This window comes from Homo sapiens, chromosome 18 (genome assembly GCF_000001405.40).
Source record: "Homo sapiens chromosome 18, GRCh38.p14 Primary Assembly".
NCBI classification, from domain to species: Eukaryota; Metazoa; Chordata; class Mammalia; order Primates; family Hominidae; genus Homo; species Homo sapiens.
In genome coordinates, this window is record NC_000018.10 from 37,608,218 (window position 1) to 37,630,025 (window position 21,808).

The 21,808-nt window shown below is 44.2% G+C and overlaps 1 long non-coding RNA gene across 1 annotated transcript, besides 1 other annotated feature; it reads left to right on the forward strand.

Moving 5' to 3' along the window:
- Positions 11,689-12,282: an enhancer, noted in NCBI's record as "NANOG hESC enhancer chr18:35199869-35200462 (GRCh37/hg19 assembly coordinates)". NCBI's record gives its function as "activates a minimal SCP1, AML or CMV promoter by ChIP-STARR-seq in primed H9 embryonic stem cells {active_cell/tissue: H9 hESC(primed)}" and the evidence as "EXISTENCE:reporter gene assay evidence [ECO:0000049][PMID:30033119]".
- LOC124904289 (uncharacterized) lies at positions 16,732-20,036 on the forward strand. The gene is made up of 2 exons (XR_007066346.1): positions 16,732-17,564; positions 18,128-20,036. It is a non-coding gene; the product is annotated as an uncharacterized LOC124904289 (long non-coding RNA).
- The last annotated feature ends 1,772 nt before the right edge of the window (positions 20,037-21,808 follow it).

Below are 21,808 nucleotides of genomic sequence, written 5' to 3' on the forward strand. Positions count from 1 at the left end.
TTTTTTTTTTTTTTCTCAAGTGTCTTCATATGCTTGTTCTGTAAACACAGGCAGAGCCAGGATCAGAATATAGAAACAGTGAAATTGTTGAGAGCACCAGAGACAAGAGAGCTGGCTGACAGGGCTGGTGTTGCCCACGGAGAGAGCAGGTAGCCATTTCGAGCGCCCCTGCAAGTTCTGTTGCTGCAGTAAACACCTCCCTCCTACTTTTATCACAGTGCCTGAAATCCCACTACGATCCCAAGCTCGTTCTTTAAAATACAGCTCCGCCTCAGATGGGGACTGTGCAGTCTTCAGAGGCTGAGGGAGCTGGGAGGGTGTTCTCTTTGCTGAGCAGGGCAGTGCAAGGGATGTGCACTGCTTTTGGTGTGGTTGGGGGTCTGGCTGTGATAAAAAGCCGTGATTCAGGGCTGGGTGGTGAAGGTGGCTGGGCGGGGGTGAGGGCGAGCCTCTCTTGCTTCATCATTTGACTAGGGAGCAGGGCTCTGTGTGCAAAGACACCAGGAAAGGGACCTGAGGGTGCTCACTGGTTGCAGGTGACTTCACAGGGACAGGGGAAGGGAAAGGAGTAGAGAGTCTTTAATTTGTACTCTGGCTGGTGTATCTCTCCGTGTGTCCTAGCTTGGGAAAAAAGAAATGAGCCCTTTATCAATTTTTAATAAATTGAAATGACAAATAATCCATTTAATAAATTATTAACTGAGAAAATTACTGAAAACTGAAATATCAAACAATCGTGAGCAAATGCTCGAAGCAGCGTGTTTATTAATAACGAGTCCTGCTGCAGGAGAGTGCTGATGCTGTGGGTCCTATAGCCTCTGCCCCAACCCCACCAAGGCCTGGAGTGTCGGGGACCTCAGGCTGGGCATGCGCAGGGGTACGCTTGGGTGCAAGTGTGGGGTCCAAGGCAAATGGAAGTTACTTTTGCCCTTGGTCCCTATAGCTGGCCGGTTCACAGACAGCTCTTGGGTAGGGAATACGGACCTGGCACTTTGATGGTCACCAGGATGAAGTCCCCACATTCCTCCCTGATGGTACCGGAAGGGGGCTAGAAGTAATCCTACCCCTGGGGGGTTAGTTCTTTAAATTAAGAGCTGTATCCTCAGGATAAATTATATATATATATGTGTTTATGAAGTCTTGTGTCTATAGAAAGGTTGATGCCAACCTGTGATCTGCCTCTAGTGATGACCAGCTGAGCCTGCTGCCCTGTCGCAGGCCTCACAGGCTGCAGCTGGAGGCCTGGGGCACTTCCTGATGGGAGAAGCCTGAGTGTGAAGGCACTGGCTAGGGAGAGGTCTCCTTTGACATGCCTGAATGGCCTTCAGGCTCCAGATCCTGAGTGGCATCTCTAAGAAGCTTCCCTCTCACCTCTCTTGGAACTTCTGCTTTTACAGGCAGTCACACAAATTTGTCCAGCATGACTGGGGTGCAGGCAGGAGTGGCTGAGGGGGCCTCTCACCACATTTCTGGCATGGTCATCTCTGCATTGGGTCTGTGGTGAGGGACAACTGGCATCATCCTCCCTGAAGTGCCTGCTTTCTTTAGAAGCATAGCCCAGCCAGACTGCTGGCCTCTGCTCTTCCGAGGCTGCCGTGGCCTGGAAACACTTCTCCACTATAGCCCTACTGTGGGGCTTGGGGCTGGTAGGGTCAGCTGACCTCCCTATGTCCTAGTTCCTTTATCTGTAAAATGGGGATAATAATAAACAGGGTTATTTGATGACTGGGATGGAAACAGTCCCATTATATAAATACAATACAGCAGTTTGGGATGACAGGCTGTAGGCTCGAAGATGGTGCTGCAATGGGTATTTTTAGGAAGGAGGGAAGGGGGGAGGGATGAGTGGTTTATAAATGTTTGTTGCATTAAAAAATGTGCTAGTTTGAATTGTGCAGAACAGAGTATCATTTGTTTCTAGAAAAATTCACTGCTGTGGAAATGAATTAGTTTACATTGAATATGTGATGGTTCAGAGAAAGGAATATTAACCCAATTTGCATTTCTTTGAACTGAAATAAATTATTGCCATGTTTGCATTAGTTGGGTCAACTGGATGTGATTGGGCAGACTTGCCGTGGGGAAGGCTGGTCTTGGGCTTGGAGGTGTGCGATATGGTTGATGTGTACAGATCAGCAAGCACCTTCCAAATCTGGGCTTATTAACCTTTTGGGGGACTGCAGACCCCTATGGGGGTTTGATGAAAGCAGTGTGCACAGCCGCCCTGTACAATTGCTTATGAATCTCAGCAGACTCTCTGAGTCTTTTACCCTCTCATGATCCAGAGGTAAAGGTCCCTACCCATTGTCTTGGTGTCCCATGGTCAGATCATAGCACAGATTGGTCAGAGCCCTATTTCTGAGGTCTCTCCCATCTGTGGAAATAAAACAGAACTTTGGTTCCAAAGAGGAAATCAGCCAAAGGCCAGTTCACATATGTGCTGTGACCTGGGGGTTTTGGACATTTTGAACCTACGTAAGACACATTCCCAGCTGTGAGAAGGTGCTGGCTGTGTCACCTGCAGCCCTGTCAATCATCAGAATTGACATGGTGGGACTGGCCAGCAAGCCATGGCCTCTTCCTCCCTCTCTTCTGTATGTTGATGCCTGCTGAAATTGCATTCTGAACTAAATAAAGAATGCTCCCTGAAGACAAGCGGGTGCCAGTGTCTGGGTTTTTCCAAGCCTGGCCCTGGTCCTAGCCCCAGTAGTTCCCCACTGGGGCGGTGGGTGGGGAGACATCAGCACAGCCAGTCAGCAGGTCAGTGTGATACAAACTCTTCAATGCCTGACAAATGGGGTATTGGTCATTGGTGGCAATGTGTGAATTCTGACAGCATCATGTGGACAGCAGGTGACTCGTGTAGATGGACATCAAAATGTAAAGAGACATCGAGTAGAAACAGAAGCTACAAGAGCCTCACACCCAGACTTGCCCTGTGAGCCTGTTGGACCAAATCGGCCTCAGCACCCCTAAGCCCACCATGGTTGGGGAGAGAGTGAGCACGGGAGGCAGAGGAAGAATCATCTCACCTCTCATCAAATAGAGGGCAGTAAAACTTTAGCTAATTAGCAACCAGTTGCCAGAGAGTATTATTTAATTAATTCCCCCATCTGAATTCACTTTTATTGGAAAGAGGCAACCACAAGAAAACAAGATGAGAAGCAGAGACTTAATGTAAAAAATAACTTTGGGGGAAAGTCGCCTTCATGTCACTTCTCTGCTTAAAACCCGTCAATGGTGTCTTAGCAATTTCAGGATAAAGCTCAAATCTCATAACTTAGTATATAACTCATCACACCCTACTTGACCAGTAGTACTGAGATTTTTGCACTTTCCAGATATGTTATGCTCTCTTGCTCTCTTACCTCCACTTGGGGCCCCTTCTGCCCCTCCTCATCCCAAGTCATATCCTCTGGACAGTTTCCCAGGCCCTAGACTGTGTTTGAGCCTCTGCGATAACACTTATTATATTATGCATTAATAGCAAGAGAGGCTGGTATGACCAGCCAGCCCATGGGCTCCTCAGGCCTGATTCACTGTAGCATCCATGAGGTCAGCCACATGGGAGGAGGTTGGTGAACGCATCTTGAACTCATGCATTCATAACGTGATGACTCAGTGAAGGAAATGGGGTCAGTTTCATTGTCCCGCAGCCCACCCAATCCAATGATTACCTCTACAACATAAAATACGACTTGCATTTACCAAGCTTCTCTCACTTGTAAAGTGGAGATCATACAGTCCACCTGATGCTCCTTATGAGGGGAAATGAGCTAATACACATAAAAAGCAGTGCCTGGCACTCCAAGAGTGCTTAATGAATGTTAGCTATTATTCTGCACAAATAAGTTGATAGTGGCCCATCCCAGTACTGTTCTGGAAACAAGTAAGTGAAAGTGATTTCCTCTGTTGTTAGAATCACCATTAGCAACTAGTTAGTGAAAATGCTTCCAGAACACAATGTCTGGGAGAGGGGTGGGCTGGGTAGGCCAGGAGAATATCTCAGTCAGACCTGGGATCAGGAATCAGACTTTTAGGGTTCACCAGGACTCTCTACTCAGGCTGTTGGTGTTGCCAGATGTCAAGGTTGGATTGGGGAAATGGTAGTCAGGCAGGGATGGAGGAAACTCCTAGAAGAGCCCGTGCCGATCTCTAGCTAGGCTTTATTTAAGTTATGGGAAGGAATCCATGCTGGGTAAATGAGGTAATGAATGTGCAAGTGCTTTGCAAACTGCAAAGTGCTATACAAATGTGAAGCATTATTACACTCATCTATTTCTCTTCTTTGTGTTCCCAGGGTTTCCTAATAAGAGCTCTTTTTGAAAGTCCTAGCCTGACTTTGGGTAACTAAAAGGAAAGGGTGTGTGCAGTGTGGTAAATTGGGGGTTTTATGTACCCTGAGTATAGCAGAGGTCCTGGCAGGGAGAGCAGAGACTTGCTGGCAACAGGAATTGGGGAGTGAAGATGCTGAACGTCACACAGTGATTAATCCCTTCCGATCTGGGATGTTTTCCAGTTCCAGGGGCCATCCTGGAGCTGCTCAAACCATTCTAGAGAGACAGGATGGCCTGAGCTGAGAAGGGTGGGAGCAAACCCAGGGTCCTCGTGGCTGAGAGTAAGTGCAGGCTGTCATGGGAAAAGTTCTCATCCCTGAGTCTGCATTTGTAACTCAGTCACCCAGCCTGGCTCAGCACAATGCAAACCATTTCCAGCTGCTTTGTGTAAGGAATAAGGACTGGCTTGAGAAGAAGGGAAGAGATCTGCCCCTAATATCCCTGATTATCTCAGCAGCATGGATTCACCAGCCTGATTTGCTGCTTCTTCCTGCATCCAGCCTGCTCCTGGGTCTCCTTCCCCACCTCACAGCCATGGCAACCAAATGCACGGGCTTGTGAAGACCAGCAGCCCAACTTCAGCAAGGTCTCGCTGGCCTGGACAGAAGAGCCAAGGTACCAGATCCATTTCCAAGGCAAAAGTCCCCAAGTTTACAGTTAAACTCAACTTGCTTATTTGTGGATTTTGCTGGGGCACAGTAGCCCCACCTAAAGGGAGTCACATGAAATCTTAGCCTTTTACTTGTCACAGAGTATAAGAATAAAACCTTTGATGATTGAACGGATTATCCTCAGGATAACATCTGTGATTCTTCATGAGAGTTATGTCTTCTTAAACCCTTGGAAGCTGTCAACACTACAGATTTCCCAAAGCACCAAGCTGCAAACAGCAGATTGCTCTCAAGCAATGATGCTGAAGCATGAAGCAAGAATCATGTTCCCATATCAGTGTTTTCACTGCTCTGAACCCAGCACCTAGCACAGCTCCTGATAGAGCTGTGTCAAACATGACAGAACTCCTGATAGAGCTGAGAGTCAACATGTCCGTTCAATGAGTGAATAGGAGTGGGCTATCCCAATGCAAATTTCAAAGCTCTCAGCAAGACAAGGTGGAGGTAAGTTCTTTGCCCAATTGTTAGCTGATTTTTACATGATTAGCCATATCTCATCATTTCCCCAAATAAGTGGGTGTGATTTGGATAGGTTGTGGAGGAAGGAAAGGACAATGGTGGTCGTTGAAGAATTCTACAAACCAAAGATAGGAGTGGGAAATGAGCGTGGCATGCTCACCGGACAATGAAAACTCTACCTTAATTTTTATTAAACTAGAAGACCAGATATTAAACTTTCTCTAATTGAGTCACTTGTTTTATCTGAGACTGGATTGAGTTTTAAGAAAACCATATGAATATTCACTCCTCCTCTTTCTCCTCCCTCAAATATTCATTGGTTTCAATGAATATTCATTCCTCCTTTTTCTTTCCCTCAAAGAAAATTCAATCAGTCTTGGATAAAACTACACTTACAATGGAAGCAGGAAAGAAGGGACCTAAGCCATTGTCCGGTCCTGCTGTTGTCAATCTTTAGAGCATATCAAAATCATCTGTGAAACTTTAGAAACTTTAGGAATGATAGGTGTCCAGGCCCCAGCGCAAGCCTACTCAACCAGGACTTCCAAGAGCAGAGCCAGGGTGGAAAGGTGACAAAGCTCCGTAGGTGATATTCATGTTCTGAGAATGATCCTGATGCATAGTCCTGCATGTCACCCAATCCACTGGAACTTCTACAACATAAAGAGAGTTACTTATTTATATGGCACTTGCTAGTTTCTGTGGCTTCTTAAAGTGTGTCCCCAAATCAACTTCCACATCTCATGTGTCCTCAGATTGGGGTCGAGGGCAGAGGGACCCTTTGTTGTCCACAAAGGGCAGCATGCCCACTGGTCCTTGCTTTTAGGTTGGTTATATTGCTGAGAGCATGGCATCCGATGGGGAGTTTAGATGGAGGTGGGGGAGAGGGAGAGCACAGGACGTTAGCCAGAGGGGCTGTCAGTGTAGCACCTCTGTGGCAGCTCTCTACAAAAACTGGAGCTGGTGCATTCCTGGCCTGATTTGGTCATTCACTCATTTATTTTTCATTCCTTTGTCAATTATTTGGTGAGTACCTAGTACGTGCTAAGGACTGCAGACACCACAGTGTACAAGATAGCCATGTCCCTGCCTCATGGATCTGAGAGTCTGAGATGGGGAGATACAGATAATAAATAAGTCAACAAATAAATAACTTTTATACAGATTTTAGTGTGGTGAGAGAAATGAACGGCGTACAGCTGTAACTGATAATGACAGTCCTCAGAAATAGCTCTAAGCTCCTTTTCAAACTCTTTTACCACTACCCAAACCCACATTGAATCAGACAAAGTGGTCTTCTGTGTGCGTGTTACACTGGCTAATTATGCCTATTTCCTGCCCAGGAAACCCTTCCCGTGATCTCTCCATCCTCTTCCACCTGTCTCACTTTCTCTGTATGATTTACACCTTAGCATTTGGTAATGCCAAATATTTCACAGATGAAGCAGCTGAGATCTGGACAGCTGAACTGTCCTGTTCCAGAGCCAACAGCCAGCAAGTGGGGGTCTTCAAATCCACCCTTGTCCTTCTCCCACAATGTTCCACCCACCTTGGCCTCTCTGCAGCCCCCAGAGTAGTTGTTGCAATTCCTTGTCTTTTAAAACATTTTACTTTATTATAATCAAGACTTTCAATTAACTTTTCTTTGTAGAAACGACTGTATTAGGCAAAAGTTTGTGTGGGATCCAATAAAACATCAGATGATATTGAGCATACGTCAGGCAAAGCCTGCAGCCCAATAAGTTATTATGTGTAAATGTTACAACTTTATTTTGAGGAGAATACATGTGTACTATCAAGCTGTTTTATGGATACGCAGTGTGATTGATTACAGCATGCAGATCTGTCGCAACAAGATAAACTCAGATAGAATAATCTGTGGATATTTAGGCCTCTGCAATTTGTTATCCAGAGATGACTCTAGAAATGATAATTTCTTCCATTTCAGCAATTTCTCTCTTTCCGTCCCCAGTAAAAACCCCTTTCCAGAGTGCTGATGTCTGATGCCAGGGTCCTCTTCTTGCTTCCGTCTTTTTCCAGTTGCTCAACAGGAAGCAATGGAAAGTTGTATGTGCCATCAATGCTGCTGCAGGAGCAGCTGGGACTTGGCCCAGAGTGGGCAGGTGCTGAGGGTTGAGAGCTAGGGCTGCTGCCTGAGAAACAGCCTCTGCTTTTAAGCTAACAAAAAAGCAACCACAAAAATAATCACCATGATTTGTTTAACACAGAAAACAGTTTCGGTAAAATGGATTACATCAGGTAGCCAACTATTTTGCAGATCAGCCCCAAGCAACTTGTTGCTAAAAAATGACTGGATTGAATTCATCGGCAACTTTTCAAAGAACAATTTGTCTGGGGAACGAAGAGTTGCTTGAATGAATTAAATCAAGCCCCAGCCCCCACTTCTTCCTTGAAGCCATTGCCCATTACCTTGGGATACAGTGACTTCCTCTGAGCTCCTCTAAGAGTCCGGGACCCCTCTTTTGATAATGAGTCACCAATGTCCATTCCCTTGGATTCCTGTCCTGAGTTATGACTTCTCTTTGATTGTTAGATGAATTACCATGTGCATGGAGAGAAGCCATGGCCCAAGGATGGGAATTGCAGATCTGGAGGCTGAAGCCCCACATTGGCATCCTGGCTCTACTCCCACTGGTTCTGTCACCCTGGGCAAGGCACTTCTCCCAAGCTGCAGTTCTGCCAACTGAGAAGCAGAGACAATGACACTTGTTCCGCTCACCTTGCAGGGTTGTTGTGAGAAGGAAATAAAGTATTTGGAAGCACTTTATAAACTGTGTAATTCTATTCAAGAAATACTTATGAGGCCACTAAGACCACTTCACCTGCTTTGGGTGTAAATATGACCATTTTGACTTTATTTTCCTGATCAATCACTTAAGACCTCAACTGCTTTTATCGTCAGGAAGTCCAGCTTCTCATTTTGTTTCCCCCATTTGCATTCCCCCAAAAGCAGAGGGAGAAGAAACTGAAAGCCCCCTCTGTTTATGACACTGCTACTTGGTGGTGGGGGAGGGGTGTCTTTGCTGCATTCTGGTCCACAGGGCCTGTGATGTCTGTGGGCTCCTGCCTGGCACCCTGATCATGCTCTTGTGGGTGCAAGTCCCTGTACCAGCAGCTACTCCTGTGTTTCCCATGCTTGGGTCCTCACTCACACACTCTCATGTGCTAGGCCACTGTTTCCCTAAAGCTTCTCCAGAGTGACTGGGTCCTGAAGCATTTCCCATTTCTACCATGTCCTGTGTCAGAATCGCTTTGTCCCTATAAAATCTCATGGCCCCCAGGCCTAGTCACAAGTTCACATCCCCTTTTCACTCTTTGGAGGTCCCCTTTGGGGCCCCAGTTATCGTTACTCGGCCGATTAGCATTCTGAGTAGGAGAAATGACTCTAGAGTTGGCCTGTCTCCGTTCAAATTCCAGCTTCACCACTTCCTAGAGAGAATTACTTAGGATCTCTGTGCCTCAGCTTTCTCAGCTGGAAAGTGGAAATAAAAATGGTCTCATCTCATGGGGTGTTGTAAAATTACATGAGATAATAGATATAAAGATTCCTCTTAGAAGAGTGTCTGGCACAGATTAAGCACTAAAGGTGCTATTAGCTGTTTTCTACTCTGACTGAATGACTGATCATGGTCCCTGTGGTTCACATGCGTGCTTTTACTACGGGGATTAGGACATGGGTTTTCCCCCACTCCAAAGGCAGCTGTCTTCATTACATTACATTAGGGCTCCAGGAGCCTTCTGCCCTTTGCTTCCGGTGCCACTTAGCAAGAGTTGGATCTTCTAAGTTAAACAAAAAGGGGAAGAGGGAAGGTTGTATCAGTTAGCGTTTGCTGTATAACAAATGGCCACAAAATGTTGTGGCTTAAAACAACAACCATTTATCTAGTTCGGTGGTTTCAACAGGCAGCTTATCTCTTCTGGACTGGTTCAGGAGGTCACTTACAGGGCTTTTGAAAGTGTGTCTGGGAAGCTGGTGAGTTGGCTGGTGGTTTGATGATCTAGTGTGGCCTCACTTATGTGTCTGGAAGTTGACAGGCTCTTGGGCAGGAATTGGCTGACTGTCAGCTGGGGTGCCTTTGTTCTTCTCCACAGGGGCTCTCAATTTCTAGCAGGCCAGCTTGGGCTTATCCACACGGTTGTCTCAGGGTTTTAAAGGTGGCAAAACAGGAAGTTACAAGGTCTTTGAGGTCTAGGCTTGGAACTTGTGCATTCTATTGATCATATGCACTGCCTGACGGAAGATGCTTTGCTGCTAAGATTTTGTGGTTATTTGCAGTTTATACAGCAGTTAAAACTTTTCCTTATGGCAGTGGGCACTTTCTTAGTTTCCATTTGCATTCTTAGAGGGCTGATGATTTCTCCTTTACTAAGAATTCTCTCTCTTTTAAAAAAATTTAATTTATTACATACCCACTCTGTGCCAGGCACACAAAAAGATATAATGGTCACAGAGTATTCAGGGAGAATATGGAAAAGAGGGTAGAAGTGCTGTGTCTATCTGGCAGGGGCTTTAAAGAAAATAGGAAGACCTCCCCGAGAAAGCAAAGTTAAGGTTAAGTCTTGAAGGAAGTGCAGAAATTACCCATGTTTGGGAGTTGAGGGGAATGAGTGCAAGGATAAAATGGAACGTATAGAAAAAGATCACCCAGTACTGCTCCCTTAATTACAGTGAAGCCTGGAGACCCTCCCAATTGTACCGACATTGAACAGAAGAGCAGGAACCTAGGCCTTCTGACCATCTGGTCTTGATTTGCACCAGGAATTAGGTGATCAAATAGATACATCTAAGTTAAGGCTACCTTGGAAAGTCTACTCACAGATCTAATCATGTTTTATCTTGAGTTTTCTGATTCTACCTTCCTTATGAGAAGCTCCACATTCCCTTCCATCCTCGACTTCTATATATCTGTACAAGTGAAGATTTGCTCTAGGATTGAACTGGTGAATAACCCAAACAGATGTCTCCACTCGTAGCTCAGTGTGTTCCCTGTATACTCCTTTGGCCAATGAGGTACCTCTATGCAACCAGACATACTGTAGGTTGACCAACCCACATCATCCATGCTACATGCAACATGTCGGAAAAAATAACCTGAAGGACATTATACCAAGTGAAATAAACCAAATACACAAAGACAAACACTATATGATCTCACTTATGTGTGGTAACTATGTGAGGTGATGGATATGTTACTTCGCTTGATGGTGGCAATCATCTCACAATGTATCAAATCAACACATTGTACACCTGAAATATATATAGAAAGATAAAAAATGTATATCTAGAGAGATGAATAAAAATTATATATAGAGAGACAAAATTGTATACATACAGTGTATATATATGTAATTTGTATATATACACTGTGTATATATGTAATTTGTATATATATACACAGTGTATATATGTAATTTGTATATATACAGTGTATATATATGTAATTTGTATATATATACATGTGCTATATATATACACACACAGATATATTAATATATATATATACAACTTTATATGTCAATTATACCTCAGCAAATCTAGAAAAAGGATACAACCATGCAGAAAATTTTATCAGATATTGTGTGGCTGCAGAAATGTATAAAAGGCCATAAATTTGATGGTAATGCTTCTAAATACTTGGCCTTTGGATTCTGCCTGAACTAGAAACGTGCTTCATTGCAGCATGCTGGTGCTCCTTCTGGCCATAATTCCCAGCTGTGGACCTGGGCCATCCCCACAAGCCAGAAGTCAACCATGATCTCCACCATTGGCCATTGCCAGCACTTTGCTGTATATAGACCTTAAAGCATTCTCACATTCATCATCTCATGGAATTCTCATAAAACTCCACCAGACAACTAGATAGAAAAGTCTTCATGTAGTGGATAAAGAAACAGAATCATGGGAATTAAGAAACTTGCTCAAAGTGTCAATTAATGAGGGATTGATTTAGGACAGAAGGCCAGATCGTGAGCCTGCAGGAGCTGAAATTTCATGGAGAAATGCAGAACAAACATGATGTCTGGCATGACATCAGCGTGCACCCTCAGGGTCTCCTGAATTCTGGTGAAAGTCTTATCAAAGCCAACCAGGCAGGTGTTGGTATCTTCTTGGGCCCTTCTCTCTGATTTGACTTCCTTGCCCAAAGCTTGATGCCTACAACACCCACGTGATGCTTCCAGCCCTACATGCTCTTGTAGGTTCCAGAGTGCTTAGTCAGTGAGAAGCAGAGAAAACAAGGTTATTACTGCATATCACACACACCGTAAAACTTCTACCCTATGAAAGGCCATTTGCTGGTGGGGGAGCAGAGCCTTGAAGCCATGTCTTATTTAACCAAATCAATGCACACATATTGCCCAGCTGTTAGAAACGGAGAAAGGGCCACAGAAACTCCAAGGGAGAGGAAGCCTGGCTTAGAATATTTGACAAGAGGCGAGTGATTAGACTCTCTTTGTGTTGCTAAGGGCAGAACTAGGGCAAACTGCTGAGAGCATCAGGAAGCCCATTTTAGTCTACCTCAAAGAACTTTTCTAAGCCTTTTGACCTGTCCAGAAGGAGAAGATTTTGTCTTAAGTAATTGTTTATGTGTCATTCATGGGAGTTGTCGGTCCCATAGCTGAAGAGCAAGAACTGACAAAAGAGGCTTTTTCAGTCAAACTAAAGCCCATCAATTTTTCTTTATTAGGCCCAGCCATTGGTCCTAATTTTAGATTCTGGAGCAGAATCAAATAAAGCTAATCACTGTTGCACATTTTACAAGAGGGGCTTGTAAATGAATTTCTAATTGGTGGAGTTTCAGGCATGGTTATGAAGTGAAATGAATTTCAGGCCAGGGAGATATTTTGGGGGCAGTGTGGGTTTTTTTCAGAGCCCTTAAATCATGCTACAGCGCTGACCAGCTACCATTCTGGATTGGATGGATGGGTGAGAAATTCACTTTAACTTTCGATTGCTGAAGATTTTTTTTGGTGGGGATGAAGTGGCATCAGTCAGGCATTAGAAGCTCTCTCTGAGTCTTTGGTAATGTCCTTTCCTCTTCAGACTCAGATGATCAAGTCTTCTCCTCCCCCTACCCTCCAATTTAGGAAATGGGTGTGCTGGATGGGGCAGGGGATGGAAGGGGCATTGCGCACATGATCCTCTACATCTTGTCATCCACTTGCTTGGGGATCTTTGTGGAAATATTCAAATTACTAGCATAAGCAATGTTGATAGCACCCACAGGATGGGCCTGAGAAGAGCTCCACCAGCTCAGACAGCCCCTAGTACTACATGTGGCTGTCATTACTGGAGATGCCCTGGCTTCTTCCTTCATGGGCACTTTTAGCTGAGAGCAATATCTGGCAGCACCCAAGAGGCATTTGATCTTTCTGCTGAAAGTCACAAGTAGAGACAGGTGGCATTGCCATCAAGGCATGTCATTAGGGCCCCCTGCCTCCCATTTCCATGACACTTCCTTCCTTCCTGCCCTCTTTTTGTGTCATGCACATTGTTTTGGGCCACCTTGGGGCCCAAGTATGTTGGAAGCAATAATGTAGTTGGTAGCAATAGTGAGGTGCCAGTGGTTCACTGAGGCTTCAGTGAGGCAGCGAACCATTCAACTCAGTGAACTAGTGGTTCACTGAAGCTTCAATGAGGTAGTGAACCACAAGCACTATATAGGCCTATGTATGCCTGGCCGAGGGAGGATGGTACAATCAATTTCCTGGATATTTCCAGCTCTCTCAGTCTTCTTTGTTCATTTAATCAACAAGTATTTTTCTTTTTTGGGTGGTAACAAGGAAACAGCCTGATCCTCCATTCTCCGTCTATGTATCCATCCTTTCATCCACCCAGATATGCACCCATGCATGTATCCATGCATGTATTCATTTGACAAGCACTTACTGGGTATTGACATAGAATCAGATACTGTCTTCATTACTAGGGACACACTCAGGGTAAAATGAAGTCCTTGAATTTTAGGAACTTATGAGCTAGCTGAGAGTCCTGCAAATAAACATGTCCTGCAAATACAATGATGCAATTGCTGCATTGGTTGTTTGCACAAAGGGCAGTAGGACCCAGGAAAGGCCTGATTGCCTGGGAGAGTAAGGAGGATGTGAAAGGAGACTTAATAGATGAGTTAGCATATTCCAGGCAGACAAGTAGTCAGCTAAAGGTATGTGCAGGATGCAGAGATAAGAGATGGCATCCCATGTGTAGAGAGAAGTTCCCAGAAGGCAGGGGCTGTATCTCTTTTGCTCCTCATTAAACATCTGCTCATCGTGGACTCTTGCCCTTTCTATAATATATAGCTATACATATATTTTATAGTTTGTATACCTGAATTAAACTTTTACTTGTCAAACTAGCATATGTACATAATTACAAAATTCAAATTTTTGACAAGACTTAGGAAAAAAAAACCTAGCAGTTTTCTGGCTCATCCTTCCTTACTCCTGGGTCTTACTCCTTAGAAACACCATTTTCAAATTTTGAACAATTCTTGCTGGCATTTAACTTCGTACTTCTAAATAATATGATATTATTATATCTATAGGCTATATTTTTTACCTTCTATCCACAGGAATTTAGGCTTTCTCTTTTTTAGCTATCATACCATTCCTTTTCTTTCCTTCATCCTCCTAACACAGTTATATTCCTATTTTCTGCTTAGTGAATTTTTAGGATTTTCATATTTATATCTATAAAAATATTCACAAAGGAATACAACTATGATTTTCCTTTTTAAACAATTGTTGGTTTTTCCGTGAGCTAATAATTGTCCAATTTAACAATTTGCCTAGTTTTCTATGTACCTATCACTGATTCTTTCCCAAAATCTCTGGCAGAGGTACCAAGATCTCCTAATAGAGTCAAACCCACTGGGTGACTGAACAGTGTTTTTTTGTTTGTTTGTTTGTTTTCTTGGAACCGCTTTTCCTTGGGCCCCAACCTCCTGCCTATTTGATTTGGACTGGCTGTCTCTGGGCCTGCTGCCTTGGTCTCCCCAAGCTCCTCGGATCACCTCATTCCTGGATGTCATATCCTCTTTGCTTTGCTCTCTTGCTTTGGTAAAGAGCCTTTTCCAGTTCTCATAAAAACATGCATGAGGGTAAAATTTTAAAACCCTTGCGTATCTGAATATGTCTTTATTTGCTCTTCACATTTCATTTACCATTTGGCTAGATATAGAATTTGAAGATGAAGGTGCTTTTTCCACAGGATTCTAAAGGCATTGTTCCATTGTGTTCTAGCTTCCAGTGTTCCTACTCAGAAGTCTCATGCCTCCTTGACTTCTACTCTTGTTACATGATCTCTTTTGCACCTTTCTCTGAAAGTATTTATTTCTACTCTTTATCCCTGGTGTGTTGAAATTTCACAGTGGTATATCTAGGTTTGTCTCTTTTATTCATTCATTATGTTTGATCTTTTGATGGACTCTTTAAATCTGGAATTTCATGCCCTTCAGTTCTGGAAATCTTTTTGGAATTTTTTCTTTGTAATTGCCTCCCTTGTTTTCTCTCAGATCTCTCATTAAAATTTCTTTTAAGAGACTATTGAACCTACTTGATAGATGCTTTAATTTTTCTTTCCTGCATTCCATCATGTTATCCTTTGTCTAGTTCCAATAATATTTATTGATTATATTATCTTCTAGAGATTGCTTATATTTATCATCTGGAATCTATTTATTTTTGTATTATGGGTATTCCATATTTAATTCCCACATATTCTTTTTTAAATTTTTCTAATTATTTTATAATAACTTTCTGTTCTTATTGCATGGATACCTATCTTTTTTTTTTCTGAAGATATTTACAGTTTTTTTTTTTTAAAGAATTTCTTTTCTGCTTGCTTTACTTTTGTTTCTTACAAGGCCCTATTTCCAATTTTTGTTCTTTTTTTTTTTTTTTTGTTAGAGCTCTTCTTAAGTGTCAGCTGGTGCTTGGCTATCTGTTTGTATTTCAGAATGAAGAACCACGTTGCTGACTGGAATTCTATCGTTACTGTTAGACTTTGTTGACTGATGGGCTTCAGTGTGGAGTGATTGGGTCCTGGAATTTTGTTAGCCAACTCTAAAGTCACAAGATTAGAAAGTTTGACTCTCTAGATAGCAACCGTCCAGGTTTCTGTCTTGCTGTCAGCTTTCTGGGAGCCCTGTGGGTAAAGGAAAGGGGGTGTCTCACTATTTAGAGGACTTCACTTTATGTAGGGTGCTAGTTCTGAAGGAGACAGGCCTGAGGCCTGACCCTTAGGCCACCCATACTTAGGAATGAAGAAGAAGGTAGAGTTAATGATGGGGACACAGGAGTAGTCATAATGGCAAGAGGAGAGCCATGGAAGGGGAGATGATTAGCAGCATTGACTGTATCCCAATTGTCAAATCAGTTGACTTTGGGCAATCATTGAAGATCTTCAATATTATAGTGGAGGTGGAATCTAACTTGTAGGATGAAGGAAGACAGAGGAAGGGAAGCTAGATGGTCCTGCAGAGACTGAACTCTCTGCCTCACTATACCTTTTCCTTCCGTGGGCATTGCTGGCTCCAGTTCACCTGACTTCCAGAGGCACTGAGTAAATTCTAGAGAAACAAACAGCGTATGCACACAAGCCATCAGAACTGATGGGCAGGAGACAAGAGAGATTCTTAAATGTATGAAAGTAAAACAAATACTTTATTTAAGGAAAAGGCAACTTGGAAAAAAGAAAAGCCTAATAAATAACTCAGTACAGCTGGCTTAAGCACTTTAAAGCCAGTGTCTGTGATAAGCAATGAAAACATTAATATAAAATGCTTCACCATAAATGAGTACAATTCAGGCTGATGTATTGCAGCTGAGCCGGCTGTCGGATGGCATGCTTTTAAAGTGATGTTTACAATCAGTATTTTTTTCTTTGGTAACTAGAAGGCAGAAGTGGTTGGAAGACTTTCCAGGGTGCAGCTATGAGCCTTGGGAGGGTGACAGCCCTGCCAAGTGGTTCATCCCCTTTTCTGCCCTGTTCCCAATCAGTTGGAGACAAGGCAGTTAGGAAGTCTCAGAGCAGGGTGGTTCTGAGCCTAAGCAGAGAGTTGGGAGCTGGATTCAAGTCAGTGGCCAGCTCTGAGGTCTGGAGACAGTGGATCAGTCTTTCTGGCCTCTTGGTTTCCCCAGCTAGTCCTGGAGGTCACAGAGGGTGTCTCCCAGAAGCTCTGAGCCCATTGCCTTCATACCCTGCTGAGTCTCCTTCTCTGGCCTGGAGTCTCTTGTTGACCATTGAGTTCCTCATCCTGTTTATTCAAAACGAGAATGTGTCTCACTTTGACATTTCTACATTTATAAAGTGGTGGGGGAAAATACCACCAGTCTTACCATGTCAACGTGGTTATGGAATAGTTAGGTAAACTAATGAGTATGAAGGAATGCAATGTAATGCATTCTTTTTAACGAATGGGTAATCTGACATTCCTTCTTATTATGTGATAATAATAAGAGCAGCTCATGTTTGCTGAGTGCCAACTCCATGCTAAGCCAAGTAGTCCTCCCTGGAAGCACAGCCACTGCTTCCTCATGTGGGTCCTGGCTCTGTGTGGATGACCTTCTCATGGCCTCTGAAGCCTTTCTGTCTGCCTGTCTGCCTCAGGGATCCATGAGGATTTTGCTTCTCCCTGTTGCCAACACCTGTTTCTCCAACCTAGGTTTCTGGCAGTCCTGGCTGACTGGGAAATGGGAAGTGTTCTTTTTTTATTTTGTTCTGTTTTTTTCCTTTTCTGTTCATGAAACAATTTACAAGGCCTTTTCCTTGAAGGGTTCAGCTGTCAATCACTATGGGGAAAATAAACAAAACAGCAAAGACTGTGAAGAGGTCAAAGAAGCAGAGCTCTCTTCGTGGCTGTCACTGGCTGGTGGTTCCTGTATTCTTTTTTAAATGATGACTTCAAAAGTTCCCAAGAAGGGGACTGAGAGCTTGTCTAGCCATGTCTGGGGTCTCACTGACAGCCCTTGACCACTTAGAAGTGAAACAAGTCTGCTCAGACTCTCACCCTGTGACCCTGGCTGCCAAGTCCTGTAGGGGCTGGATGTATTCTCAACTCCCCCCAGCCTGCATCAGGTGAGGAATTAGGCCGCTTCTCTGGGCCCCACAAAATTTCCCCCTGGACTTAGACAATCCTACACTGTTTCCTGTTAGTTTCTAGTTTCTTTCCTTTTTTTGAGATGGAGTTGCCCAGGCTGTAGTGCAGTGGTGCGATCTCAGCTCACTGCAACCTCCGCCTCCCTGGTTCATGTGATTCTGCTGTCCTCAGTCTCCTGAGTAGCTGGGATCACAGGCACCCACGACCAAGCCCAACTAATTTTTGTATTTTAAGACGGGGTTTCACCACATTGGCCAGGCTGGTCTTGAACTCCTGACCTCAAATGATCTACCTGCTTCGGTCTCCCAAAGTGCTGGGATTACAGGCGTGAGCCACCATGCCTGGCCTCCTGTTAGTTTCTTGTGGCTGCTGTCATAAATGACTGCAAGCCCAGTGGCATAAAACATAAAATTTTTTTATCTTACAATTCTGGAGGTCAGAAATGTGACCTAGGTCTCGCTGGGCTACAATCGGGGTGTTGGCAGGGTGGCCTTCTTTCCAGATGGTCTTGGGGTAAATTCTTCTCTTTTGCCTCCCTCAGCTCCTGGAGGCAGCCCACATTTCTTGGATCATAGCCCCCTTTGTCTTTAAAGTTATCCAAGTTTCGTGGAGTCTTTCGCAGACCACATGTCCTTGACACACACACTCATCTATCTTCTAAAGACCTGTGTGAGTATGCTGGGCCCACCCGAATAATCCAGGACACTCTATTTTAAGGTCAGTCGATTAGCAACATTATTTCCATCAACAAACTTAATCCCCCCTTACCATGTAGGGAACATATTCACAGGTTTGGGGGATTAGGACATGGACATCTTTTAGGGGAGGCAGTTTTCTTTCTTTCATAACTGGTTACAATTGACTTCTGCTCCTTGAAATTTGTCCCTTTCCTCCTAATATAAGAAATATGAGCTGGAAAGACAGCTTCCAACTTCAGGTAAAGCTGGCCTTCTCGCCTGTCACCTGAAGTTCCTACACGGACAGACACTGGCCTAAGTTTCTCATAAAGAACCAGCAGATGCCAGCTTTCCAGGAAGCTCCCTCCCCCAGTAACCAGAAGCCTCTTCAAGGACCCTCTGTCCTTTGAAGACCTCACTCTTAGATCATATTTCTGGTCTGAGGGAGCCTCTGTTCATGGCGCAGTGCTGTGGCCAAGAGGCTGATATGCCTAGACACCACAAAGAATCCTGCTGCTGGGTGCGCTCTGCACCCACCCCACAAGGATTTTATGACACCCTCCAGGATTCCACTCTTGGGAATGGCCTCTAGAGTAAGAATTTGCCATCTAAAATAGTTTGAACAATGGAAACAAGAATCCATATGTGTGTGTGTATGTGCGTGTGTGTGTATGTGTATGTCTCTGTGTGTGTGTGTAATTTGTAAGACGGAAGGAGGAAAAGTTTGCCAACCACCTATCACAAGGTGATAGGCACTGCTCTGCGTGCCATGCCACCAATCCCATGCTCTGCACAGCAGGCTGCTATAGGGCTGCATTCTGGATCCACCCCTGTGCCACTTTGGCCAAGCTACGGCAGCTCCTTGAGCTTCAGTTTTGTTGTTCCCCAAATGGGAAAGGCTAATTTGAAGAGTGAGGAAAAGCTGGCAGGTGTGTAGCTCCCTACTCCTCCCTGCACCACTTGCCTCTCCCCTCCCTTCTAACTCAGTTTTCCACACTTCTCTCTCATTCTCATTCTGCTTCATTTCTTTCCAAAGAGCCTAGAAATAACATGTTGCTATTTTCAGCACCCCTTTCCCCCATCCTGACACATATACGTATACATATACACATACACACAAACACACATGCACACACACTGGATAGAGATGTGGAGATGGTGTGGCGATGCCTTGTCCTCCCCAAGTCAAGCCTGGTTTGTGCATGGAGAGGAGCTAAACCCACAAGAAGAAGAAACTGAGCACACAGCAGGAAGGCTTGAGCATTATGGCTGTAGGAGGGGAAGTATTTGGGATCATTTGAATTAACCATCCACACAGCTTTCTGATTTGAGAGCCCCATTCCATCACCCTGGCCCAGTACTGCTCTGCTGTGTCCTAAGCTCTTTCTCTTCTACCATAGGGATGCTGAGCAGGTGAGCAGCACCACAGAGTGGGGAGTAGAGTGGGGGGATTGGTCAGCTGCTGAATCCACCAGCAATGATTTCTGGACCAGAATCAGCCCAAACAACATCCTTCCCTACTGGAAGAACCTACACACAAAGTGCCAGACAAACACGGCTCTTCAGCACTCCCTGATGGGTGCTGTGCTTCTTTCTAGACCCCATTTATAAATTTGAACTGAACAGATGTATTACATGGAATACTTTAAAACATTATTAGGAACAGCTTTTGCATTAGTGGTAATAAATCCATACCGGCAGTTACTTCTTATTTTTGCCTGTTTGATAACTTGAAAAACAAATTCTTTTCCAGAATAAATTTGGGTAAATGGATTGGTGCCCTCTTTCCTTCACTACTCCTCTTCCCTCCTTACCAACCTACTGGTGCCCATGCCACCAGCCCTGCCCCACAGCACTGCTCAAGATGGAGGGAGGAAGGAGGACAGTGGAGATCTGCTTGGCTCTGACCCCAAATCCACTGTGTGATCTTGAAGGATTTGGGTATGCTCAGTGCCCCTGTGTTTGGTTGCTTTGCACACAGCTCACAGCTTCCAGTGGTCCCTGCCTCCCAGTGTTCATGCCCTGTATGGGCTGGACCTAGCGATATGCTTCTAGTGAATGGAATACCACAAAGGTGGTGGGTTGTCACTTCTGAGGTTAGGTTATCATGATGGGTAATATTATCAACTTGATTGAAGGCTGCAAAGTATTGTTCCTGGGTGTGTGCCTTTCCACGTTCTTCTGCCTGCTTTTATTCTGGCCGTGCTGACAGCTGATTAGATTGTGTACACCCAGACTGAGGGTGGGTCTGGTTTCCCAGTTCACTGACTCAACTGTTAATCTCCTTTTGCAACACCCTCACAGACACATCCAGGAACAATACTTTGCATCCTTCAATCCAATCAAGTTGACACTCAGTATTAACCATCACAGTTATAAATGATTCTGATGTTCATCATGCAGCACTCTTTCTCTTGCCTTCTTGGCTTGGGGGCTTTAATGAATCAAGCTGTCATGGTGGAGAGATCTACATGGCAAGAAACTGAGGGTAACCTCTAGCTGATAGCCAGTGGGGAACTGAGGCCCTCAGTCCAACAGCCCAGTGAAGAACCAAATCCTGCCAACAACTACTGTGTGAGCTTGGAAGCAGACCCTCCCTCATTTGAACCATGAGATGACTGGCTCCTGTGGCTACCTGGATACAGCCAGTGAGAGACCCTGGAGGAGAAGACCCAGCTAAGCTGTGTCCAGATTCCCAACCCACAGAAACTTGGAAATAATAATAAATCATAAATGTGTGTTGCTTTAAGATGATATTTTTTGGGGCAATTTGATACGTAGCAATAAACTAACATACCCTTTATGGCTCCAATCTGTAAAATGGAATTATTCCCACCAGTCTTCCTAAGTATAGCAGGAAACATGGGGATGTTAAGATGTATTTGAATACTGAAACCTTATTGTGGTGGCATCAGTAATGGTCAGTCACTGATTTATTTCATAAATACTTACTGAGCACCAGTTATGGTCAGATGCTGTATTACCAACGTGAGCAACAAAGATAAATCTTTTGATGAGGCCATGGTCTTTATGAGGAGAGTCACATATTGTTTGGAAACAGTGAAATACAATGTGTTAAATGTTTTGAAATGTCCTCAAAATGTTTTGGGAGCCCAGATACCAAACGCAGCCACATACAATAAAATTTCTCACCAGAGTAGCAAAAATTCCTGGAAACTTTTAGGGACTCCTCATTTCCCCTATCGCAGTGAGAGCTTCAACAAGAAAGAATGAGTTGAAGAAGGACAGAAGGCTTAGAACTTGAAGAAGTCTTTGAGTACAATCTCAGGTATGCATGGGATGCACTTTGGCACTTTGAACATGCTTTTAATAGGGGCCCCCCAGTAAACCCCGCTTTTCCAGACACTGGGCCTTGGTCCCTTAATGTGCTCCATCTGCAGCAGTCTCTGTCCTTATAGATGATTCCTAATGCTTCTAAAGATTCCCATAATTTCTCCCTCACATCTGACGCCAGACAGCCCATGGAACAGGAACTACATATTTCAGTGCCAGATTCTCTTTTGTTTCAAGTATAGTGTTCATTT